Source organism: Homo sapiens, chromosome 3 (assembly GCF_000001405.40).
Source record: "Homo sapiens chromosome 3, GRCh38.p14 Primary Assembly".
In the NCBI taxonomy this organism is placed as follows: domain Eukaryota; kingdom Metazoa; phylum Chordata; class Mammalia; order Primates; family Hominidae; genus Homo; species Homo sapiens.
Genome location: NC_000003.12, coordinates 54,272,570 through 54,294,156, shown reverse-complemented (window position 1 = coordinate 54,294,156; position 21,587 = coordinate 54,272,570). Strand labels below are relative to the sequence as shown.

The 21,587-nt window shown below is 42.0% G+C and overlaps 1 protein-coding gene and 1 long non-coding RNA gene across 2 annotated transcripts in view, besides 1 other annotated feature; both read right to left on the bottom strand.

Moving 5' to 3' along the window:
• CACNA2D3 (calcium voltage-gated channel auxiliary subunit alpha2delta 3) overlaps positions 1–21,587 on the bottom strand; it is a 952,006-nt gene that overhangs the window by 780,401 nt on the left and 150,018 nt on the right. The window lies entirely within an intron of this gene.
• Positions 1,159–21,060, bottom strand: LOC124909382 (uncharacterized). The gene is made up of 2 exons (XR_007095915.1): positions 20,989–21,060; positions 1,159–1,332 (listed from the first exon to the last, which is right to left on the bottom strand). It is a non-coding gene; the product is annotated as an uncharacterized LOC124909382 (long non-coding RNA).
• Positions 8,263–8,764: an enhancer, noted in NCBI's record as "H3K4me1 hESC enhancer chr3:54319420-54319921 (GRCh37/hg19 assembly coordinates)". NCBI's record gives its function as "activates a minimal SCP1, AML or CMV promoter by ChIP-STARR-seq in primed H9 embryonic stem cells {active_cell/tissue: H9 hESC(primed)}" and the evidence as "EXISTENCE:reporter gene assay evidence [ECO:0000049][PMID:30033119]".

Sequence of the window (21,587 nt, the reverse complement as noted above, 5' to 3'; positions counted from 1 at the left end):
TTCCCAAAGCACTGGCGAATATCAGGGTTTCCCTTGCTAGAAAGTACAAAATCCCAGCTTCTTTATTCTGCCATTTCATACTGCTTCCAAATTATGGGATCAGCTTTAACGTAATGTAAACAAGTTTTCAAAACATCTAATTCTTAAAATAAAAATTTCTCCTTCTCCCCCTCCTTTCTGGGGGCCTTCCACTACCCCCAAGCATGCATTTAAATGTTTCAGGCATGCACTCTTTTGGGTGTGCAATTTTATTTGTTTTGATAAATGCAGAGTTGTGTAACCACCACCACAATCAAGATGCAGAACCGTTTCATCACTCCAGAAAATTCCCTCAAGGAGCCCCTTTGCAATCAATCACTCCCCAACCCAAACCTCTGGCAACCACAGATCTATTCTCTGTCCTAACAGATCTGCCTCTTCCAGAATGTCATATAAATAAAAATAAATGTGGCCCTTTGATTCTAGCTTCTTTCACTCAGTATGATGCATTCGCGATTCATCTGTGGGTGTTGTGTATGCCTCTAGCTTGTTCCTTTTTATTACTGAATAGTATTCCACTGCATGGATGTGATATATTGATATATATATATATAATAGAATATTACTCAGTCATGAAAAGGAATGAAGTAATGGCATTCACAGTAACCTGGATGGAACTGGAGATCATTATTCTAAGAGAAGTAACTCAGGAATAGAAAACCAAACATCATTATGTTCTCACTCATAAATGGGAGCTAAGCTATGAGGACATAAAGGCATAAGAATGATATAATGGACTATGGGGACTCTGGGGAAAGGTTGTAAGGTGGGTGAGGGATAAAAGACTACACATCGGGTACCGTGTATACTGCTCAGGTGATGGGTGCACCAAATTCTCAGAAATTACCACTAAAGAACTTATTCATGTAACCAAACACCACCTGTTCCCCAAAAACCTACTGAAATAAAAAAGAAAATAAAAAAATAATACCCCATTCTCCCCTCCACTCAGTTCCTGGTAACCTCTATTCTACTTTCTGTCTCTAGGAATTCGCCTATTCCAGGTACTTCGTATAAGTAGAATCACACAATGTTTGTCCTTTTGTGTCTGATTTATTTCACTTTGCATTATGTTTTCAAGGCTTATCCATGTTGTAGCATGTATGAAAAATTCATTCCTTTTTATGGTTGAAAATTCCATTGTATGCATATATCACATTTTATTAATTCACTCATCTGTTGATGCACATTCGGGCTGTTTCCACCTTTGGCTATTGTGGATAATCCTGCTAAGAACATTGTTGTGCCAGTCTCTATTTCAGTCTCTTCTTTCTGTTCTTTTGCAGTGTATACCTAGGAATGAAATTGCTGGGTCAGATGGTAACTCTATATTTAACTTTTTGTAGAACTACTGAACTGTTTCCCACAGCAGCTATACCATTTTACATTCACACCAACAACATATGAGGGTTCTGATTCCTCCACATCCTTGCCAACACTTAGTATCTGACTTTTTGGTTATAGTCATCCTAGTGGATGTGAAGTGTTGTTATCTGACTGTGGCTTTAATTTATATCTCACTGAGGCAAATTATTTCAGGATTTTTTTTCATGTACTTATTGGCCATTTGTGTATCTTCTTTGAAGATATATGTTTATTCAGAACCTTTGTTCATTTTTAAATTGTGTTGTCTTTTTATTATTGAGCTGTAAGGGTTTTTGGTATATTCTAGAAACAAGTCTTTTATCAGATATAATTTCTAAATATTTTCTCCCTTTCTCTAGGTTACCTTTCACTTTCTTGATAGTGTTCTTGAAAGCACAAAAAAATTAATTTCTATGAAGTCCAATGTATTTATTTTTTATTTCATTCCTCATACTTTTGCTGTCATTATCTAAGAATTCATTGCCAAATCCAAGGTCATGAAATTTGACATCTATGTTTTCTTCTAAGAGCTTTACAGTTTTAGCTCTTAAATTTGGGCCTTTGGTCTAACATTTAGGTTTTTTGACTCATTTTTGTGTATGGTATGAGGTAGGGGTCCAACTTCATTCTTTTGCCTGTGGCTATGCAGTTGTCCCCACACCATTTGTTGAAAAGATTTTTCTTTCTACCACCGAAAGGTCTTGGCACACTTGCTGGAAATCAACTGACTAGATTTGTGAGGGTTTGTTTCTGGGCTTTCCATCAAACTAATGTTGTTTTTCAACTTTATTTTTTTGGTCAATAATTACTTACCATTAATTATCTGCATGCTATCTCCCTTACTGGATTGTAAGTGTTACATTTCAAAATGTTTAGCACAGTGTTCAGCACGTAACAGAAATTTACTCAATAGTTGAATGAATGAGTGAATCAATGTAAATGTTCCTTCCCTAGACTACACTTCGAATCTGTTCAGCACTCCCATTCCTAGAGTAACTATGTCCACCAGACATCACCTGCTCCACGATCACAGTTTGGGTTCTAGGCAATGTCAGAAGCCTACCACTAAATCTTATCAAAAAGATAGCATATATTATGAATAAAAGTTTCAGAAAACCAACTGCTCCCGCCAGGCTCTGTTCTGTTTCGCTGGGGAGAGGCACACTTTTTCCTAGTCCATAGTAATTAACACTTACCTTTTTTAAAAAAAAGATTACAGGCTCAGATAATTCAGTTACCACCAAACATCAACAGCAAAAATGACAAGAGGTTCTATGAACTGTGATTTGCGCTTTCACCAATATGAATGAAAATCAAAGGAACAGGTAAAAAGATGATGCATTTCAAGAAAAAGTAGCCTTAAGGGTTACTTTAAAGGGACAAAATTTAGACAATATTTACATATGGACATGCCATTTTAATTGCCTATCTGAGAAAAAGGATATTAATCATTCCTGCAACTGCTTTTTAAATTTGTGTGGTGATGGTGGAGACACGAATTTTTATTTTCTTTATTAAACAAGTAATATATGTTCATGATAGGTAAAGTAGGAAACTGACATAAGCAAAATATAAATAAGGATCACTCATAACCCACAGGCTAGTTAAAAGCAACAATTTGTATTTTGGTATGCAACCTGCCACGATGTTTTCCATCCATCCTGTGTATGTAGGTACATATTTTTATTTTATTTTATTATACTTTAAGTTTTAGGGTACATGTGCACAACGTGCAGGGTTGTTACATATGTATACATGTGCCATGTTGGTGTGCTGCACCCATTAACTCGTCATTTAGCATTAGGTATATCTCCTAATGCTATCCCTCACCCCCCGCTACCCCACAACAGGCCCCGGTGTGGAATGTTCCCCTTCCTGTGTCCGTGTGTTCTCATTGTTCAATTGCCACCTATGAGTGAGAACATGCGGTGTTTGGTTTTTTATCCTTGCGATAGTTTGCTGAGAATGATGGTTTCCAGTTTCATCCATGTCCCTACAAAGGACATGAACTCATCATTTTTTATGGCTGCATAGTATTCCATGGTGTATATGTGCCACATTTTCTTAATCCAGTCTATCATTGTTGGACATTTGGGTTGGTTCCAAGTCTTTGCTATTGTGAATAGTGCCGCAATAAACATACGTGTGCATGTGTCTTTACAGCAGCATGATTTATAGTCCTTTGGGTATATACCCAGTAATGGGATGGCTGGGTCAAATGGTATTTCTAGTTCTAGATCCCTGAGGAATCGCCACACTGACTTCCACAATGGTTGAACTAGTTTACAGTCCCACACACAGTGTAAAAGTGTTCCTATTTTTCCACATCCTCTCCAGCACCTGTTGTTTCCTGACTTTTTAATGACCGCCATTCTAACCGGTGTGAGATGGTATCTCAATGTGGTTTTGATTTGTATTTCTCTGATGGCCAGTGATGATGAGCATTTCTTCATGTGCTTTTTGGCTGCATAAATGTCTTCTTTTCAGAAGGGTCTGTTCATATCCTTCGCCCACTTTCTGATGGGGCTGTTTGTTTTTTTCTTGTAAATTTGTTTGAGTTCATTGTAGATTCTGGATATTAGCCCTTTGTCAGATAAGTAGGTTGCGAAAATTTTCTCCCATTTTGTAGGTTGCCTGTTCACTCTGATGGTAGTTTCTTTTGCTGTGCAGAAGCTCTTTAGTTTAATTAGATCCCATTTGTCAATTTCGGCTTTTGTTGCCATTGCTTTTGGTGTTTTAGACATGAAGTCCTTGCCCATGCCTATGTCCTGAATGGTAATGCCTACGTTTTCTTCTAGGGTTTTTATGGTTTTAGGTCTAACATGTAAATCTTTAATCCATCTTGAATTAATTTTTGTATAAGGTGTAAGGAAGGGATCCAGTTTCAGCTTTCTACATATGGCTAGCCAGTTTTCCCAGCACCATTTATTAAATAGGGAATCCTTTCCCCATTACTTGTTTTTCTCAGGTTTGTCAAAGATCAGATGGTTGTAGATATGCGGCATTATTTCTGAGGGCTCTGTTCTGTTCCATTGATCTATATCTCTGTTTTGGTACCACTACCATGCTGTTTTGGTTACTGTAGCCTTGTTGTATAGTTTGAAGTCAGGTAGCGTGATGCTTCCAGCTTTGTTCTTTCGGCGTAGGATTGACTTGGTGATGCGGGCTCTTTTTTGGTTCCATATGAACTTTAAAGTAGTTTTTTCCAATTCTGTGAAGAAAGTCATTGGTAGCTTGATGGGGATGGCATTGAATCTATAAATTACCTTGGGCAGTATGGCCATTTTCACGATATTGATTCTTCCTACCCATGAGCATGGAATGTTCTTCCATTTCTTTGTATCCTCATTTATTTCATTGAGCAGTGGTTTGTAGTTCTCCTTGAAGAGGTCCTTCATGTCCCTTGTAAGTTGGATTCCTAGGTATTTTATTCTCTTTGAAGCAATTGTGAATGGGAGTTCACTCATGATTTGGCTCTCTGTTTGTCTGTTATTGGTGTATAAGAATGCTTGTGATTTTTGTGCATTGATTTTGTATCCTGAGACTTTGCTGAAGTTGCTTATCAGCTGAAGGAGATTTTGGGCTGAGATGATGGGGCTTTCTAGATATACAATCATGTCGTCTGCAAACAGGGACAATTTGACTTCCTCTTTTCCTAATTGAATATCCTTTATTTCCTTCTCCTGGCCAGGACTTCCAACACTATGTTGAATAGGAGTGGTGAGAGAGGGCATCCCTGTCTTGTGCCAGTTTTCAAAGGGAATGCTTCCAGTTTTTGCCCATTCAGTATGATATTGGCTGTGGGTTTGTCATAGATAGCTCTTATTATTTTGAGATACGTCCCATCAATACCTAATTTCTTGAGTTTTTAGCATGAAGGTTGTTGAATTTTGTCAAAGGCCTTTTCTGCATCTATTGAGATAATCACGTGGTTTTTGTCTTTGGTTCTGTTTATATGCTGGATTACATTTATTGATTTGCGTATATTGAACCAGCCTTGCATCCCAGGGATGAAGCCCACTTGATCATGGTGGATAAGCTTTTTGATGTGCTGCTGGATTCAGTTTGCCAGTATTTGATTGAGGATATTTGCATCAATGTTCATCAAGGATATTGGTCTAAAATTCTCTTTTTTGGTTGTGTCTCTGCCCGGCTTTGGTATCAGGATGATGCTGGCCTCATAAAATGAGTTAGGGAGGATTCCCTCTTTTTCTATTGATTGGAATAGTTTCAGAAGGAATGGTACCAGCTCCTCTTTGTACTTCTGGTAGAATTCGGCTGTGAATCCATCTGGTCCTGGACTCTTTTTGGTGGGTAAGCTATTGATTTTGCCACAATTTCAGATCCTGTTATTGGTCTATTCAGAGATTCAACTTCTTCCTGGTTTAGTCTTGGGAGGGTGTATGTGTCGAGGAATTTATCCATTTCTTCTAGATTTTCTAGTTTATTTGCGTAGAGGTGTTTGTAGTATTTTCTGATGGTAGTTTGTATTTCTGTGGAATCGGTGGTGATATCCCCCTTATCATTTTTTATTGCATCTGTTTGATTCTTCTCTCTTTTCTTCTTTATTAGTCTTGCTAGCGGTCTATCAATTTTGTTGATCCTTTCAAAAAACCAGCTCCTGGATTCATTAATTTTTTGAAGGGTTTTTTGGGTCTCTATTTCCTTCAGTTCTGCTCTGATTTTAGTTATTTCTTGCCTTCTGCTAGCTTTTGAATGTGTTTGCTCTTGCTTTTCTAGTTCTTTTGTGATGTTAGGGTGTCAATTTTGGATCTTTCCTGCTTTCTCTTGTGGGCATTTAGTGCTATAAATTTCCCTCTACACACTGCTCTGAATGCGTCCCAGAGATTCTGGTATGTTGTGCCTTTGTTCTCGTTGGTTTCAAAGAACATCTTTATTTCTGCCTTCATTTCGTTCTGTACCCAGTAGTCATTCAGGAGCAGGTTGTTCAGTTTCCATGCAGTTGAGCGGTTTTTAGTGAGATTCTTAATCCTGAGTTCTAGTTTCATTGCACTGTGGTCTGAGAGATAGTTTGTTATAATCTCTGTTCTTTTACATTTGCTGAGGAGAGCTTTACTTCCAAGTATGTGGTCAATTTTGGAATAGGTGTGGTGTGGTGCTGAAAAAAATGTATATTCTGTTGATTTGGGGTGGAGAGTTCTGTAGATGTCTATTAGGTCTGCTTGGTGCAGAGCTGAGTTCAATTCCTGGGTATCCTTGTTAACTTTCTGTCTCGTTGATCTGTCTAATGTTGACAGTGGGGTGTTAAAGTCTCCCATTATTATTGTGTGGGAGTCTAAGTCTCTTTGTAGGTCACTCAGGACTTGCTTTATGAATCTGGGTGCTCCTGTATTGGGAGCATATATATTTAGGATAGTTAGCTCTTCTTGTTGAATTGATCCCTTTACCATTAGGTAATGGCCTTCTTTGTCTCTTTTGATCTTTGTTGGTTTAAAGTCTTTTATCAGAGACTAGGATTGCAACCCCTGCCTTTTTTTGTTTTCCATTTGCTTGGTATATCTTCCTCCGTCCCTTTATTTTGAGCCTATGTGTGTCTCTGCACGTGAGATGGGTTTCCTGAATACAGCACACTGATGGGTCTTGACTCTTTATCCAATTTGCCAGTCTGTGTCTTTTAATTGGAGCATTTAGTCCATTTACATTTAAAGTTAATATTGTTATGTGTGAATTTGATCCTATCCTTATGATGTTAGCTGGTGATTTTGCTCTTTAGTTGATGCAGTTTCTTCCTAGCCTTGATGGTCTTTTCAATTTGGCATGTTTTTGCAGTGGCTGGTACTGGTTGTTCCTTTCCATGTTTAGTGCTTCTTTCAGGAGCTCTTTTAGGGCAGGCCTGGTGGTGACAGAATCTCTCAGCATTTGCTTGTCTGTAAAGTATTTTATTTCTCCTTCACTTACGAAGCTTAGTTTGGCTGGATATGAAATTCTGGGTTGAAAATTCTTTTCTTTAAGAATGTTGAATATTGGCCCCCACTCTCTTCTGGCTTGTAGAGTTTCTGCCGAGAGATCCGGTTAGTCTGATGCGCTTCCCTTTGTGGGTAACCTGACCTTTCTCTCTGGCTGCCCTTAACATTTTTTCCTTCATTTCAACTTTGGTGAATCTGACAATTATGTGTCTTGGAGTTGCTCTTCTCGAGGAATATCTTTGTGGCGTTCTCTGTATTTCCTGAATCTGAATATTGGCCTGCCTTGCTAGATTGAGGAAGTTCTCCTGGATAATATCCTGCAGAGTGTTTTCCAACTTGGTTCCATTCTCCCCATCACTATCAGGTACACCATTCAGACGTAGATTTGGTCTTTTCACATAGTTCCATATTTCTTGGAGGCTTTGTTCGTTTCTTTTTATTCTTTTTTCTCTAAACTTCCCTTCTCACTTCATTTCATTCATTTCATCTTCCATTGCTGATACCCTTTCTTCCAGTTGATCGCATCCGCTCCTGAGGCTTCTGCATTCTTCACGTAGTTCTCGAGCCTTGGCTTTCAGCTCCATCAGCTCCTTTAAGGACTTCTCTGCATTGGTTATTCTAGTTATACATTCCTCTAATTTTTTTTCAAAGTTTTTAACTTCTTTGCCATTGGTTTGAATTTCCTCCTGTAGCTCGGAGTAGTTTGATCGTCTGAAGCCTTCTTCTCTCAACTCGTCAAAGTCATTCTCCATCCAGCTTTGTTCCGTTGCTGGTGAGGAGCTGCATTCCTTTGGAGGAGGAGAGGCACTCTGCTTTTTAGAGTTTCCAGTTTTTCTGCTCTGTTTTTTCCCCATCTTTGTGGTTTTATCTACTTTTGGTCTTTGATGATGGTGACGTACAGATGGGTTTTTGGTGTGGATGTCCTTTCTGTTTGTTAGTTTTCCTTCTACCAGACAGGACCCTCAGCTGCAGGTCTGTTGAAGTGTGCTAGAGGTCCACTCCAGACCCTGTTTGCCAGGGTATCAGCAGCGCTGGCTGCAGAACAGCGGATTTTGGTGAACCGCAAATGCTGCTGCCTGATCTTCCTCTGGAAGTTTTGTCTCAGAGGAGTTCCCGGCCGTGTGATGTGTCTGTCTGCCCCTACTGGGGGGTGCCTCCCAGTTAGGCTGCTCGGGGGTCAGGGACCCACTTGAGGAGGCAGTCTGTCCATTCTCAGATCTCCAGCTGTGTGCTGGGAGAACCACTACTCTCTTAAAAGCTGTCAGACAGGGACATTTAAGTCTGCAGAGGTTACTGCTGTCTTTTTGTTTGTCTGTGCCCTGCCCCCAGAGGTGGAGCCTACAGAGGCAGGCAGGCCTCCTTGAGCTGTGGTGGGCTCCACCCAGTTCGAGCTTCCCGGCTGTTTTGTTTACCTAATCAAGCCTGGGGAATGGCAGGCGACCCTCCCCCAGCCTCGCTGCCGCCTTGCAGTTTGATCTCAGACTGCTGTGCTAGCTATCAGCGAGACTTCGTGGGCGTAGGACCCTCCGAGCCAGGTGAGGAATATAATCTCCTGGTGTGCCGTTTTTTAAGCCCGTTGGAAAAGCACAGTATTAGGGTGGGAGTGACCCGATTTTCCAGGTGCCGTCTGTCACCCCTTTCTTTGACTAGGAAAGGGAACTCCCTGACCCCTTGCGCTTCCCGAGTGAGACAATGCCTCGTCCTGCTTCGGCTCGCGCACGGTGCGCTGCACCCACTGTCCTGCACCCACTGTCTGGCACTCCCTAGTAAGATGAACCCGGTACCTCAGATGGAAATGCAGAAATCACCCGTCTTCTGCATCGCTCATGCTGGGAGCTGTAGACCAGAGCTGTTCCTATTCGGCCATCTTCGTAGGTATATATTTATATACTCCTTTATGACATACTTTTCCACATATCGAAAGCACTATTAATGTCAAATACATTGGACATCATCATTGTTATTGCTTTATAGCATTCCAGGATACTGAAGAGGTGTCATTTATTTAGCCAATCCCTTATTTTAGAACATCTTTTATTCTTGTAAACAATGCTGCAATGAATATCCGTCTCTGATCCTGATTTTAAGAAAATTATTGCAGCAGGTAATTGGACGACTATTTTTATTAAGAAGTACTGGTACCGAAGGAGCTCTATTCCACCAAAATTCATTTTTTACACTTTATTCTCACACTGTTCATCAAGACAGAGATGTTTACTGTTCAGAGTATATTAGATGTCATCCTTAAAATTAAGACATTTTAATACGATTTTTCCTTTAGTAGATTGAATTTGAAATAATTCTAGATTTACAGAAAAGCTGTAAAGGGAATAGAGTTCCCATATACCCTTCACCCAACTTCTCCTAAAGTTAACATTATATGTTATTGTGGTATATTTGTCAATATAACAAATACAAAGCTAAAATATATAATATATTACAAATATAAAATTAAAACTAACCTATAAAACTATAAGATTAACATCAGTACAAAACTTAATTGTACCATTTTATTTAATTTTTTTAATTTTTTTAATTTAATTTTATTTTTTATTATTATTATACTTTAAGTTTTAGGGTGCATGTGCACAATTTGCAGGTTTGTTACATATGTATACATGTGCCATGTTGGTGTGCTGCACCCATTAACTCGTCATTTAGCATTAGCTTAAATATTTTAACCATTTAAAAGGGAAAAAGGTTTTAATATGTAAGTACATATATCAGAGTAGTAGTTTTGTTTTGTTTTTGTTTTTTGTTTTTTGAGATGGAGTCTCACTGTGTCGCCCAGGCTGGAGTGCAGCGGTGCAATCTCGGCTCAATGCAACCTCCTTCTCCTGTGTTCAAGCAATTCCCGTGCCTCAGCCTCCTGAGTAGCTGGGACTACAGCCACGCACTCCACACTCAGCTAATTTTTGTATTTTTAGTAGAGACGGGGTTTCACCATGTTGACCAGGATGGTCTCGAGCTCCTGACCTCAAGTGATTCACCTGCCTCGGCCTCCCAAAGTGCTGGGACAGAGGAGTAGTTTAAAAAAAATCAGCAGCCTCTTCCTCTATCTACACAGAGAAACACCTCTGGTGTCAGAAGGTCAAGAACAACACTGTCGTTATCAGGTTTTGAGCGGACAAAGGGAATGTGATTCACCAGTGATGTATCCCAACTTGTGCAATTACACACACACACATTGCACTTGCTTTCTGACCTCACCAATTAAATCATATCCCCAGAATATCACACTACAATGAAAGCCAGAAACACAGAGTAAGCCTCTAAAGCAATTTCTTCCTCTTGTTATTAATACTTCCTGAAGAATTTTATCTGCTCTGTTAGGTATCTAAGCTCAAAACATTTGCCCATTAAATATCTTGTTCTCATGTTTAATACTCTGCTAAAAGAGTGCAGATATGCAACTTCACATTATATTCTGCGACCAAAAACATTTCACAGCATCAGGAGATATCCATGGAGGGAGGACCCTTAAAGTCTATCTCTTCCCATTTAGAAAAAGAATTCTGACCCTACAGAGGGCAGGGATTTTACCCCAGGGCAGTCCACCACTGCTGTCCCTGCCAGGATCAGAAAGTAGAACTTGGGAAAACAGGACTGGCATCTTTTCTGCTTCACTGACACCACCTTCCCTATCAATTCTCTTTGGACAACATTACTTCTCACTAAAATTCTGCAATTTGTATCCTATAATTATAATCACATTTCAAAGTCCTGCTGGCTCAAAACTCAAATCAATCTCTCCTTCTTTGTTTTTAAAGTAAAAATCCTTTTAGGATCATGTAAAGTACGAAACTGCTTCATCAAAAGGGAAATGTACCCTCAAGAATAAAGACCTATTTCTCATGTATTTCTTCCTATTTGATAACAGACTTTTATTATCTACAAGCACAAACAATGCTAACTACTATGATAGGGTTTGTGATTCAACTAATAATGACTGTATTTGATGACAAAAAAAAAAACAAAGCGAAAACTAAAAGTGTATGTTCTTCTTAGAGGGCTAATTCCTACAGAAAGTGATGTCTTTTATTCTCTCACATTGAAACCTGTGCTCTTTCTCATAATACTTATCACAACTTGTAATACACTTATATATGTATCTGCTTTAATGTCTTCTCACTACACTGTAAATTCATGAAGCTCATTGCATACCCAGAGCCCAGCACATAGCCTGGTGACTTAAGAATCACAAGGACAGTAACATCACTGAATACAGTCACTTCTTTTCCTAGATCAGACTAGATGTCTAGAAGTCTACGTGATAGTAACATGAAGACTTCTAAGTTTCCATTCCTCAACTCCACAAGTACATTGACCCCTCATGAGGGTGCTGGAGCACCAGAATGATCCACATAGTACTCTGGTGTCTCTACCTTGACGCATCTTTCCTCACACCTGATGGTTTGTTGCTGGCTAATGGCTACTATCCAAGGGCCTCTTAGCATGTCAACTTAGTCTTATAAAGTGGCATCATGAGCTTGTATTTATTCAATTCCAAAGCATCTCTATACCTATGTTAATTTATTAAAAAACTAATAAATATTCATTGAAAAACATTACAGATATTTGACATAGAAAATTCAGTGACAATTCCACCAACTCTCCATTCCCACCTACCCTGCAAAACCCCCTAGCTTAATATTTTTTTTCTCAGCGTTCAACATGCATTTTAACAAACTGGAATTCTGTCATATGTTTTCCATTTTATGAAGAAGTGCCTTTTACAAATTATGTGATGAAGAGCCTTCTATGTCAGTATACACTTTGTTGTCATCACTGCTGTGGTTAGTCATGCTTTGATTTGCTGAGACCACTTAAGCAATAAACTATCTTTTTAATTTTATAAATGTCGGGAGAGAGGGAGCAATGAACACTTTGCTTTAACACACATAAGGAAGCCTCCACTCTGTGCTATCTGCTGAGCAGTGTTAACTCCTGTCAGTACAATGCAGTAGAACTTCCTGTCAACTGGTCACATCAAACCCACGGAGACTGAACATCCATTCTTAACTGCCAGGAAATGCCACTGATTCAGATCCAGCTCACCTCCTAATATTCTGCATGAATACAGAGCTTAAGCTGTATCATTTTCAGCTTTAATTCTATACAATAAAATATAATTTATTTATTCCCAGCAAGAATGTGCAGAGGCAGGAAGACATCAATAAAACATAACCGCACCAACTGGCCTTTCTGTGGCTCTCTGAGGTGTTCCACGTGACCATGGTGGGCACACATCTGTTCGCACAGCTCTCGCTCAGCAGTTTAAGGAATGAAGGATCACCTCATTACAGAGCTGCCATGTTTGAGTGCGCTCTGGGGTCTGCCTGCACCCCTCAGAGCCCAGCACTTCCTCCCCCTCATGATCCACTCTGCCACCGGGAGGGTTCACCAGGCCTCTATACCTAGCTCCCACGTGGTCTGACACAGGCAGGTAGCCTTGTGTTTTTCGGCAATCTGGATACACAGTGGAAAAGATACTGAGTCACAAAATGTGCAAGAATCTACATAAAAATATAGTGATGCCTTCCTGTGCCATAAATCATGGCTTCCAAGTGGCAAGGGAGGGCAGGGGCCCTGTTCCTGATACTGTTTTGCTCAACATCGCCTTATGCCTAATGGAGATGAGTGAATCACCTGTGGACACTGTCGGCTTCCCACACTTCCCCATGGTGCTGTCCTCCTCCTCTCCACTCCAGGTTGTTTAGGAGCCAGGGCCTCAGCCAGCACTCATTTGCACATGATGCCATTCAATAAACACAAACCAGTGTGCCAGCCTCTAGGGTGGATGCTGAAGACAGAGGAATAAACAGTATAGCCACAGTCCTCATTCTCTGGGAGTTCACAGCCTCATAAAGGAAAAAAGCAAGAAAGTAGTATGCTCAACACCATAGCAAGGGAAGTATGGAGTGTGTGGGCAGTTTCCAGGAGTGGGCTCCATCCTAGACTTGAGCATTAAAGGCATTTCCCAGAGGAAGGGATGCCTAAGCTGAGACCCAAAAAGGAGGAGGAATCGTTAGCTAAGAAAGGTGATGGCGAGAGGGAATGAATGATGCAGAGGGAACAGCAAAGCAAAGGCTCAAAGGCAAGAGATCAAAGGGCACAAGAGAGAACAGAGTCGGGAAGGGTTGTTATTGCTAAACTTGAGGGGGAAACTGTATGAGGCTGCGTGGCAGGCATGCTCCAAACTGTGGCGGGGAATCAAGTCTAGGCTTTCATGTCACCTCCTCCCTGAGGCCTGCCCTGACTACACTCCTTTACTCTCCCTCTTTTAGTACAGTGTTCAGGCCCTCACATTTCTGTCCCCCCTACACTACATTAGAACTTTAATGAATACAGGAACTTCTTTGGGTTTCTGCCTACTCCCCACCAGCAAAGAGCTTGGGTCCAAGACTCATAGGTGCTTAATAAATATGTATTAAATGAACGAACAGGCCAGGCGCGGTGGCTCACGCCTGTAATCCCAGCACTTTGGGAGGCCGAGGAGGGCGGATCATGAGGTCAGGAGATCGAGACCATCCTCGCTAACATGGTGAAACCCCGTCTCTACTAAAAATGCAAAAAATTAGCTGGGCGTGGTGGCGAGCACCTGTAGTTCCAGCTACTCAGGAGGCTGAGGCAGGAGAATGGCGTGAACCCAGGAGGCAGAGCTTGTAGTGAGCAGAGATCGCACCACTGCACTCCAGCCTGGGCAACAGAACAAGACTCCGTCTCAAATAAATAAATAAATAAATAAATAAATAAACAAACAAACAAACAAACAAGTCATCTTTGTTGGTTTCACTTATGCTTAGTTGTATCAAAGAAATCACTGTTGGAATTCTCTACAGGTGGAACTAGCCTAGGCTGGCCCCTACCACTGAAAACACAGGGTATAAAATTCAGTTTAGGGAACCTTTGCTTCGTGTAAAAATGATGCTGCAGGCTAGACCAAAACCAACAACAAAACCAACACCTCAGGTCCTATGCTGATCACAGTCTACCAACCACATGGAGTTGAGGCAGCTACTCAAAGCCCAAACCCTCAAGACAAGGCCCTCCATTCTCGTTTTGAGAACAGAGACAGCTCTGTGCACAAGATGCTAGAACTCGAAATGGTTTCAATTATTAGGACTAAGCCAGAGCTCTACTCAGACACTCATGCCTGTAGGTACAACAGGGCTGCTGGCACTACATACTGCTCTCCAGTAACAGACAGGGGGACAGAGATGGAAAGTTCTTGAAAATCCAACCTTCCTGCGCCACAAGGAGACAAGGCATTTAAATGAAAGCTCCATTTTCAAAGTGCAAGCTAAGTGCAGTCTCAGTGTAGCCAAGGTCATCTCTGGGAAGAGCGTAGTACCAGAGACACAGAGAGGGAGCTTGTCAGGATTCCAATATTTAATAAATCCTCAGTCCCTGGGGAAATTACTCAGCTCTCCTTGGGCATACATACTAGTAGGGCCATCCCGTTTGGTCCTCACTCCCACACACACAGTGAAGGTCACTGCTGCCCACCCGCCTGCAGCCATGAGTGGTAGAAAGGTGTCACTGAAATCACTCGTAATGTTTCAATTATTTCCATTCGTTAGTCAGAATCTGCACCTCACCCCTGCTTGGACTTGTGCATTCCACTCATGAAACTGGGAATTAAATGAGTCATCAAAGAGACACAGCCAATCTCTCCATCGTTGGAGCCTCACAAAGGCACAGTAAAGCTTTGGGGAATGAGGAAACAAGTCCATTTATAGCAGTGAATTAGGTATCGTCGCAGGATCCGTGTACATTAAAGAATGCTAATTTGATTCTTGTCTGCTCTGTAGCTGGGCTGTCAATACTGGTGTTTTTGTGTGTGTGGTACATGTTTTGGGATACATGTGCAGAACATGCAGGTTTGTTACATAGGTATACACGTGACATGGTGGTTCACTGCACCCATCAACCCGTCATCTACATTAGGTATTTCTCCTAATGCTATCCCTCCCCTTGCCCCCCATCCCCCGACAGGCCCTGGTGTGTGATGTTCCCCTCCCCGTGTCCAGGTGTTCTCATTGTTCAACTCCCACTTATGAGTGAGAACATGCGGTGTTTGGTTTTCTGTTCCTGTGTTAGTTTGCTGAGAATGATGGTTTCCAGTTTCATCCATGTCCCTGCAAAGGACATGAACTCATTCTTTTTTATGGCTGCATAGTATTCCATGGTATATATGTGCCACATTTTCTTTATCCAGTCTATTACTGACGAACATTTGGGTTGGTTCCAAGTCTTTGCTATTGTGAATAGTGCTGCAATAAACATACGTGTGCACATCTTTACAGTAGAATGATTTATAATCCTTTGGGTATACACCCAGTAATGGGATTACTGGGTCAAATGGTATTTCTGGTTCTAGATCCTTGAGGAATCACCACACTGACTTCCACAGGTGAACTAATTTACACTCCCACCAACAGTGTAAAAGCATTCCTATTTCTCCACATCCTCTCCAGCATCTGTTGTTTCCTCACTTTTTAATGATCACCATTCTAACTGGCATGAGATGGTATCACACTGGGTTTTGATTTGCATTTCTCTAATGACCAGTGATGATGAGCTTTTTTTCATATGTTTGTTGGCTGCATAAATGTCTTCTTTTGAGAAATGTCTATTCATATCCTTTGCCCACTTTTTGATGGGGTTGTTTTTTTCTAGTAAATTTGTTTAACTTCCTTGTAGATTCTAGATATTAGCCCTTTGTCAGATGGATAGAATGCAAAATTTTTCTCCCATTCTGTATGTTGCCTTTTCACTCTAATGACAGTTTCTTTTGCTGTGCAAAAGCTTCTTTAGTTTAATTAGATCCCATTTGTCCATTTTGGCTTTTGTTGCCATTGCTTTTGGTGTTTTAAGCATTCCTATACACCAATAATAGAGAGCCAAATCATGAGGGAACTCCCATTCACAATTGCTACAAAGAGAATAAAACACCTAGGAATACAACTTACAAGGGATGTGAAGGACCTCTTCAAGGAGAATTACAAACCACTGCTCAAGGAAACAAGAAGGGACACAAACAAATGGAAAAACATTCCATGCTCATGTACAGAAGAATCAATATCATGAAAATAGCCACACTGCTCAAAGTAATTTATAGATTCAATGCTATCCCCATCAAGCTACCACTGACTTTCTTCACAGAATTAGAAAAAAACTACTTTAAATTTCATATGGAATCAAAAAAAAGCCCGTAGAGCCAAGGCAATCCTAAGCAAAAAGAACAAAGCTGGAGGTATCACACTTCCTGCCTTCAAACTATACTACAAGGCTACAGTAACCAAAACAGCATGGTACTGGTACCAAAACAGATATATAGACCAATGGAACAGAACGGAGGCCTCAGAAATAATGCCACACATCTACAACCATCTAATCGTTTATAAACCTGACAAAAACAAGCAATCGGGAAAGGATTCCCTATTTAATAAATGGTGTTGGGAAAACTGGCTAGCCATATGCAGAAGATTGAAACTGGACCCCTTCGTGACATCGTATACAAAAATTAACTTAATATGGATTAAAGACTTAAACATAAGACCTAAAACCATAAAAACCCTAGAAGAAAACCTAGGCAATATCATTCAGGACATAGGCACTGGCGGGATTTTAAAAAGGGAGGAAAGGGCAGACGTTCATGTGAATGGCAGCAACCCAGTCCTGCAGGGCAGCGTGTGGGGGCCTCCCTGGCCCAGGCCTGAAGGACAGGATGGTACACTGGGTCTGTGTCATTATGTGCCACCTCCATGCCATGGACCAGGGCCCAGTAATACAGCATCTGAAAAAGGACAGGCCCTGAATTTGAAAACTGGAGATGTACAACAAGAAGCGGCATGCCTGCGGTGGGCCATAGCTCATCAACCCTCATCTACATAAACAACCACAGTGTACAGTCATCAGTCATCCGTCATTGGTCATCAGTGGGCAACCCAATCAAGGAAAGCTGCCTCAGGGTGTAGCTCTAGCCTAGAGATGGGTTTAGACGCAACAGTTGGGTAGCCAGAAAATAAACAATTTGGACCTTTACCTTAACCTGGAAGAAATGCACAGAAAAAAACTTCTTTACCATCCTCTCTCCCATACCAGCCCTGCCACTCTGTTTCTGCCTCTCATCCCCTCCCTAATTCCTCTTTTCCCTGCCTCAAAATACCAAACTTCTCTTGTACAATCAGCATGGACTCTCTCTAATGGCTCTCTCTTTCTTCTTCTTCTTTTTTTTTTTTTTTTTTGAGACAGAGTCTTGCCCTGTTGACCAGGCTGGAGTGCAGCCACGTGATCTTGGCTCACTGCAACCTCCACCTCGCAAGTTCAAGCAATTCTCCTGCCTCAGCCTCCCAAGTAGCTGAGATTACAGGCGTATGCCACCACGCCTGGCTAATTTTTGTGGTTTTTTTTAGTAGAGACAGGGTTTCGCCGTGGTGGCCAGGCTGGTCTTGAACTCCTGGTTTCAAGTGATCTGCCCGCCTCAGCTTCCCAAATGCTGGGAGTACAGGCGTGAGCCACTGCGTCTGGCCTCTTTCTTCGTTTTCTTATCAAACTGCTCTTCCTTCTCTCTCATCCCATCTTCATCTTTCCAGTGTGAACCCTGCTGACTGTTCACTCCTCAACAAGGGGGCAGTGGGAGAGGGCGCAGGGCACATTCATTTGGGAAGAGTAGAGGGCTCAGGGGTGCAGTGGGCAGCCAACCCATCCCTGCAGGGAGGGGCATTCAATCGGGGCTTCAGGATGTCAGAGAAAGAATCCAACCCTGATTTTTAATAACCTTGCACTGAATTGTAGTTATTTCCTTGAATTTTGAGTTCTTAAAGTAAACAAATAAAATTAGTATTAAAAGAACCTGCAACTTTATCCCCAGTAGAAATCAGATACTTTCCGGCCAGGTGCAGTGGCTCACACCTGTAGTCCCAGCACTTTGGGAGGCCAAGGCAGGCAGATCACGGCAGATCACCTGAGGTCAGGAGTTCAAGACCAGCCTGGCCAATATGATGAAACCTCATCTCTACTAAAAACATAAAAATTAGCCAGGCGTGGTGGCAGGCACCTGTAATCCCAGCTACTTGGGAGGCTGAGGCACGAGAACTGCTTGAACCCAGAAGGCGGAGGTTGCAGTGAGCTGAGATCATGCCACTGCACTCCAGCCTGGGTGACAGAGTGAGACTTTGTCTCAAAAAAAAAGAAATCAGATACTTTCCTATCACCTTTTAGTGTCTGTCAGTATCTCAAAACAGCATTCATTCTCATCACTATTTTGAAATTAAGACTGCTGCACATCTTGCTATTTAAGGTGTTACTAAATAAGCACATATATTATTATATCACAAATCTGGGTTTTTTATATTTTGATAGCTGTATTTCATTATAATTGAGTTTCCTTATAATTCTATGCCTTTCATATTGTTTTTGAACTTGAATTTTTTTTCTAAGAAAAAATCTAAGTTTCAGACTGTCAAAGTGGTTGATGGCATAAAAGAGGTCAAGAACTACTCCCTGCCTAGGGGAGGGGTGCACACCCTGAGACCTGAAGGCATGAGACGACTTATCCAGCAAAGGCACAGAGGTGGGCCGGGGCAGAGGCTGCCAAGAAGAGGGCGCCTGCTATGAGAGACGAAAGAGGGAACAGCAAAGTGGGTTTCTGAGTGCCCATCAGGCACAAGATACACGATCTCATTAGACATATAAAGATAAGGCAGGGCTCTGCCCAAGACGGCATGCAGTCCAGCACAGGCTCATAAGCAGGATTGTCTGCGGCAGGCAACTTCTTGGATGGACCCCAGTGGTCCCTGCCTCCTGGTCTTTATGCCTTTGTGCAACCCTCTTCCCATGAGTGTGGGTTAGACCTGGTGACTTCTTCCTAATGAATAAAATATGACAGAAGTGAAGCAATGTCACCTCCAAGATCAGATTACAAAAAGGCTCTCTTGCTGTCTCCCCTGGTCACTCTGCTGGAAGCCAGCTGCCATGCAGTGAGCTGCTCAACAGAGAGGCCCACGTGGCAAAGGTCTGAGGGAGCCAGCAAGGCCTGGAAGCCCTCAGACCATGCGTGAGCCTGGATGCAGTTCCCCCCTAGCCGAGCCTTCAGGTGAGACTGCAGTCCGCTGACACCTTGAGTGCAGCCTGTCAGAGATCCTGGACAGAGAACCTAGTAAAGCTGGATACAGACTCCTGACCCAGAGAAACTGTGTAATAGTAAATGGCTGCTGTTTTAAGCCACTATTTTGCAATAGTAATTTTTGCAATACAACAATAGATAATTTTGGGGGTAATTTGCAATACAATAGATAACTAATACAATGACCCCGAACACACAGTGACGAGCAGGAGCACTAACATTCTAGGGGTACTGAGAAAGACACCATCTCTTTTGGCTAGGAATAATGATATAAAAAGGTGTCTGAGGAGACTTGCACTTGAAGTGGGCCTCAAGGATCTCTCATCATATCAGGGAGTTGCAAGAAAGAAAAGAAAAAGAAAGAAAGAAGAAAAATAATCTATAAGAATGAATCAGAATGATTACAGCCAGGTGATAAAGTTATGGGGTTTTGCTTTCTACTTTATACATTTCCGTATTTCTTATATATATATATATGCATAGAAATCATTCTACAAATGTAGAGATATATATTTGTATATTTTCCAGGTTTCTGTTTGTAAATATTGCTTTACAGCAGATTTTTTTAAGGAATGGGGTAAATGTTAGAGTCATAAGAGAAGGTCATTTCCAGTAGACTAACACAAACAAAGACACACTGTAGTATACTATGAGATACCATGGCTATAAGATTAATGACAGCCATACGCCCACTCAAACATCTCACAGGACCTACACACTTAGCAGTATGATGCAACCTGGCCTGGGATTTCCAGCCCTGGCCCAGGGATTACTGGGTCTCTATGTCAACTGGATCCCAAAATCCTAGTTGCCCTAGAGATAAGGCCATCTAGCACAGACACAACTTTCACAAACCTTAAAACAAAGCTCACCCTTACCAGAATAGCTTAAAGCTCCATTATGAAAGAAACACCTGGGAACTGACCTGGACTGAGTACAGGTGTAAGAAAGGAGGAAGAATCCCTCAAACTCCGAGAACGGTCGCCAGATGGAGACCCTTCCCAGTCGGGTGGTCATCTGGACCTTGTGTTTGGCCACCAGCCTGCTCCTGCTGTCCGTGTTGTGAGATTGCTGCCAGAGTAAATTGCCTGCACTTCAGACAGCGTCTAAGTCTCACCTTTAATGTGAATCACACCAAAGGGGAAACGCTGCCCTGTGAAAGCTGGTTAACTAGGACCACCCAAGAGCCAGAACGCAAGGAACAGAAAATGGTTTAGTTTATATGTGATTGGGGCATTAAAGAAATCAGTGGGAAATAAAGCAGGGAAGCTAGAATGGGATCAGAGGATGGAGGGTGTGTGCGTGAGAGAGACAGACAGACAGACACAGACAAAGAGACAAAGAAGGAGAGGGAGAAAAAAATATATATTTTCCCACTTCTGAACAGCCGACAAAGGAAGAAGGGCCCAGCAGCCAAGAGTAACGAGACGAATCCAAACCCTTCTCTCCAGCCAGTAAGCACAGCTGGAAGAGAGGAAAGAACAAACCCTGGGCCTTCACACATTCTCCAACAAGTTTCCTTACCAAATGATATCCTTGTGCCAGGCACGTGGAACTGCAAAAATCCACCTTCCCTTCTCCAGTGACGCATTTACCGTGAGCAAAACAGCGGAAGAGCTGGACGTGCAGCTGGAGCCGAGTGACAATCTGCTCACCAGGAAGAGTGGCCGGCTGTCCTCACGGCCCATGGCAGGACTCAGAACAAGGGGGTCCAAGGCATGGCTTTTAATGTTCTCAAGCGCAGGGCTCAGGGAGAGACAAAGCCTGGGAGGAATGGGGTCCAAGGTGGCCAGAGCCGTTTGGTCCCACTCATCAGCTCACAGGTACCCACCAGTGCCCCAGTGGTGACAGCCAGTCTACCCGGACTGGAAACACCAGAGGTCTTTGTGCCTCTGTGCAATCCCCTTTTCAGGAGTGTGGGTTAGACCTGGTGCCTTCTTTCTGATGAATAAAATATGACAAAAGTGAAGCAACATCACAAAAATTAAGCGATGTCACAAAAGTGAAGCAATGTCATAAGCAGAGGGCTCAGGGAGAGTTCTCGGGGGAAGCCAAGCAGCCAGACCCAGCTGTGTCTGGGACAAGCATCTGTGGGAAGGAGCCCTGAGTCCTCATCACTCATC